At 39.0% G+C, this 4,863-nt stretch overlaps 1 annotated feature.

Annotated features, from left to right (window-relative positions):
• Positions 3,634–3,873: an enhancer, noted in NCBI's record as "active region_20189". NCBI's record gives its function as "activates an Ori minimal core promoter by ATAC-STARR-seq in GM12878 lymphoblastoid cells {active_cell/tissue: GM12878}" and the evidence as "EXISTENCE:reporter gene assay evidence [ECO:0000049][PMID:35858748]".

The raw sequence follows: 4,863 nt of genomic DNA, 5'->3' as shown, positions 1-4,863 counted from the left end.
GATCCGCTGTTAGTCTGATGGGCTTCCCTTTGAGGGTAACCCGACCTTTCTCTCTGGCTGCCCTTAACATTTTTTCCTTCATTTCAACTTTGGTGAATCTGACAATTATGTGTCTTGGAGTTGCTCTTCTCCAGGAGTATCTTTGTGGCATTCTCTGTATTTCTGGAATCTGAACGTTGGCCTGCCTTGCTAGATTGGGGAAGTTCTCCTGGATAATATCCTGCAGAGTGTTTTCCAACTTGGTTCCATTCTCCACATCACTTTCAGGTACACCAATCAGACGTAGATTTGGTCTTTTCACATAGTCCCATATTTCTTGGAGGCTTTGCTCATTTCTTTTTATTCTTTTTTCTCTAAACTTCCCTTCTCGCTTCATTTCATTCATTTCATCTTCCATTGCTGATACCCTTTCTTCCAGTTGATCGCATCGGTTCCTGAGGCTTCTGCATTCTTCACGTAGTTCTCGAGCCTTGGTTTTCAGCTCCATCAGCTCCTTTAAGCACTTCTCTGTATTGGTTATTCTCGTTATACATTCTTCTAAATTTTTTTCAAAGTTTTCAACTTCTTTGCCTTTGGTTTGAATGTCCTCCCGTAGCTCAGAGTAATTTGATCGTCTGAAGCCTTCTTCTCTCAGCTCGTCAAAATCATTCTCCATCCAGCTTTGTTCCGTTGCTGGTGAGGAACTGCGTTCCTTTGGAGGAGGAGAGGCGCTCTGTGTTTTAGAGTTTCCAGTTTTTCTATTCTGTTTTTTCCCCATCTTTGTGGCTTTATCTACTTTTGGTCTTTGATGATGGTGATGTACAGATGGGTTTTCGGTGTGGATGTCCTTTCTGTTTGTTAGTTTTCCTTCTAACAGACAGGACCCTCAGCTGCAGGTCTGTTGGAATACCCTGCAGTGTGAGCTGTCAGTGTGCCCCTGCTGGGGGGTGCCTCCCAGTTAGGCTGCTCGGGGGTCAGGGTCAGGGACCCACATGAGGAGGCAGTCTGCCCGTTCTCAGATCTCCAGCTGCGTGCTGGGAGAACCACTGCTCTCTTCAAAGCTGTCAGACAGGGACATTTAAGTCTTCAGAGGTTACTGCTGTCTTTTTGTTTGTCTGTGCCCTGCCCCCAGAGGTGGAGCCTACAGAGGCAGGCAGACCTCCTTGAGCTGTGGTGGGCTCCACCCAGTTCGAGCTTCCTGGCTGCTTTGTTTACCTAAGCAAGCCTGGGCAATGGCGGGCGCCCCTCCCCCAGCCTCGCTGCCGCCTTGCAGTTTGATCTCAGACTGCTGTGCTAGCAATCAGCGAGATTCCGTGGGCGTAGGACCCTCCGAGCCAGGTGTGGGATATAGTCTCGTGGTGCGCCGTTTTTTAAGCCGGTCTGAAAAACGCAATATTCGGGTGGGAGTGACCCGATTTTCCAGGTGCGTCCGTCACCCCTTTCTTTGACTCGGAAAGGGAACTCCCTGACCCCTTGCGCTTCCCAGGTGAGGCAATGCCTCGCCCTGCTTCTGCTCACGCCCGGTGCGCTCACCCACTGGCCTGCGCCCACTGTCTGGCACTCCCTAGTGAGATGAACCCAGTACCTCAGATGGAAATGCAGAAATCACCCGTCTTCTGCGTCGCTCAGGCTGGGAACTGTAGACCGGAGCTGTTCCTATTCGGCCATCTTGGCTCCTCCGAACTTCATCAGTTTTTGCAGTCTGAATCTATGTCAGCTAGTGGAGGCTATTCATATGGGAAATGAGATTTTGATTCTTTTAGATATGTCAGACAACTGAATCTACAAAATTGTTCCATTTAACAAGGCAACCATTAAGAAGAAAATGGCCATATCAATCAGCTTAACTACTTACCAAAGCCAAAAAATGAGGCTGAGCAGTTTGTTTTCTCTTGTAACTCTAGAGGCCCCAAAAGTATTGTACATATGGATTTTTATGATGCTGTCTGGATAGAGACGTCATTACTGCTTACTGATCGTGTTTTCACTGAAACCTCATCTTGAGCGGGTTTCACCTGTTTTTACCTGTAGAAATGATAGTGCAGGAGACTTGTAATCACATGTGTGTGGAAAGTCAGGCTACCTAATGTAAGGTCAATTTTCAAGATGCCACATGGTTTCTTGGCATCTAAAATAATATACCCATTTCAAAATCTACCATGTTGGCAAGACTGGTCAGTTGTAGTTCTGTATTTGAAAACATTCGGTGATTATCCTCAGTCACTTTATTACAGCATCTCTATTACTGAATTGCTTTTTTAAAAATTTATTTACTGTGTTACATTTTTCAGCAGTTTTCCACAAGGAAATGATGAGTGCTCTGTTCCCTGGATTTTCCAAATACATACATGCCTTTCAGATTATACTTTAAGGACAATTTTACTTGGAATATAATCCTTAAGTCCCTCGCTCCCACTTTCCTTAAACTTTGGTGGAGAGTATCTTATTCTCTTCTGCATTGATTTGGAAAAGGCTGAGGTCATCTTGAGTTTTTCTGTTTCTACCTGCCTTATTTCTCTGCTGCAGACCATTTAACTTTTTAGTCATCATAAAAATACAGTAAATTTGTCCATATATATGCTTAAGTTGATCATTCTGCAGGTTTTTTTCCGTTATAATTCTGTGCCCTTTTTGTACACAAATTCACTTTTCTTTCTTTTAGAAAAGTTTTACTATATTATAATTTGGAGTGTTATTAAAAAATTCATTTGTTTTCTTTTTCAAGATCACCACAAGTAAGCAATATCACATTGGTCTGTCTTCCATAAACATTTTTATCTTTATAATTATTTTATAATCACTGTGATTTCCCATTACATTCTCTCTCTGTGATTTATTCAAGCCTATCATGGTGTCATTTGCTGTGTTTTCACTCTTTTTTCTATTTTTGTTTCTTTAATGTTTGTTTATCATTATATTTTTATCTTCTATTTTTTAAAAAAATAGGCTAGTTTTCTTCTCAAATGTTTTTTGTGTTAGAATATCTTTCATGAAACTTAGAAAGCTTGGTGCTGTCTCTCTAAGAGAGAGCTTGTGGCTTCTGAGTTGAGACTAAGCGATATGTTTCTCTAATATCTTCCTCCATTTCTTGAGTCATTTCTCTGATGATTCAGCCATTGCTTGTGTTGCTTTATCTCCTTATGTGGTAATAGGTAGACAGAGTTTCTTTTTTATCTCTAGTCATATAGAATAAGAAAAGTTTGAAAGTGGAGAAAAGGAGTGAGCTGATGTCATCTGCAGATACAATTCTGGCCTTATTTGTAACCATTAGAAAATCTTTTCTGTTTCCTCTGACTGCTTCTTCTCTCCATCTTTGGTATTCCAAAGGTTTGCTTTGGCTCACAGCAAACACTTTTGTCATAGTTTGTTCCATTGCTATGTAGCTGCTTCAGGATAACATACAACACAGCTTGCTCTACTGGGTGCAATGATTACATAGTAAAGAAAAACAAACAAATAAAAAAACGTTTTACTTATATACATCTACTTTTACTTTTTACATATATTTAATCTACACAATAAGAAATTACATATTCTACTGTTTAATTACTGCTTCATATTTCCTGTCTCCACAGGTCCAAATGTCCTATGGTCATGAAGCCGTTATGGTCTATGAGTATTCTTTGTGGAAGTCTCATAACAACATTGTGAAGCCAGAGTCCTTCCTGCAGCCATGAGGCCCTCCAAGCTCTCTCCCCTGTGGCCCTTTTCATCTTGCTTTCTACTCCTCTAGCTTTTGCTCATTCTGTTTCAGCCACACTGGCCTTCTTCCTGTTTTCACACACCCACAGAATGCCTCTGACTGAGGCATTTTCTGTTCTCTCTTTTCTCAGCTGTTCATATGGCTCACTCCCCTACTCTTTCAGATCTTTATTTAAATGTGACTTTCTCAGTGAGGTCTTCCCTGCCCCCCCCCCCCATTTAAAGCTGCTATTTACCACATCCCTTTCTCACCAACACCACCACACAAACTCATTTCTCTATATTCTGGTCTTATTCTTCTTTATAGTAGTGAAGTCCTTCTAATATAGTATGTATTTTATTTTTTTAGGTATCTGATTCCACTCAGTTGAATTTATGATGTTTGGTTCATTGCTATGGTCTAAATGTGTTTCTTGCACCTAATAGACATGCAATAAATATTTTTGAATGAAAGAATAAAGATCAATAAAATAAATTTATTTATTGATGATTAAATACAGTGCTAATATTGGAAAGATGAACACACAGAGTTGACTTTTTTTTACTTCAAAGATAAACTCTTTATTTGTCTTTTTACAGGGTAACATCAATCACAATCTGATGAAATGCTGCTACCTAAAATTATCAAGATTATTAATTGAAACAGAATTTATACATTGTATCTTGAACAGAATATTATGTCCTATCCTGTCTCTTCAGGTTTCATTGTAGAAATCCATATATAAAGTGGAGATAAGACTTGTAAATCTGATTCTTGTATAAAACCTTAATTCAAATAGTAACAGTATAATAATAATAACAATCAACATTTGATTTGCATTTATTATGTAGGAACAAGGTACTGAGATTTTTACATGTATCACTATAATATATGTATAAGTATTATAAAGCTGAAGAAATTGAAACTGAAAGAAGTGAAATCACTTGTTCAAGCTCATATACCTAGCAAATAGCAAAGCCAAAATAAAAACTCCGGGAATCCTGATTACAATGTCCATACTTCTAAACACTTCAAAAATTATCTTAAAAATCAATACCAGTAAAAACAAAATATTTCCATAGTAACTAAAGTACATATAAATTCATGAAACAAAGGTAACCAATAAATTATTAGAAAGATGTTTTTCTAATGGCAGACACATTCTTCTAACAGTTGAGTGTATCTAAAAGAAGTTGACATTA

The sequence above is a fragment of the Homo sapiens genome, chromosome 3, assembly GCF_000001405.40.
Source record: "Homo sapiens chromosome 3, GRCh38.p14 Primary Assembly".
In the NCBI taxonomy this organism is placed as follows: Eukaryota; Metazoa; Chordata; class Mammalia; order Primates; family Hominidae; genus Homo; species Homo sapiens.
The sequence above is the reverse complement of the archived record's forward strand: the minus strand, read 5'-3'. Positions and strand labels throughout refer to the sequence as shown.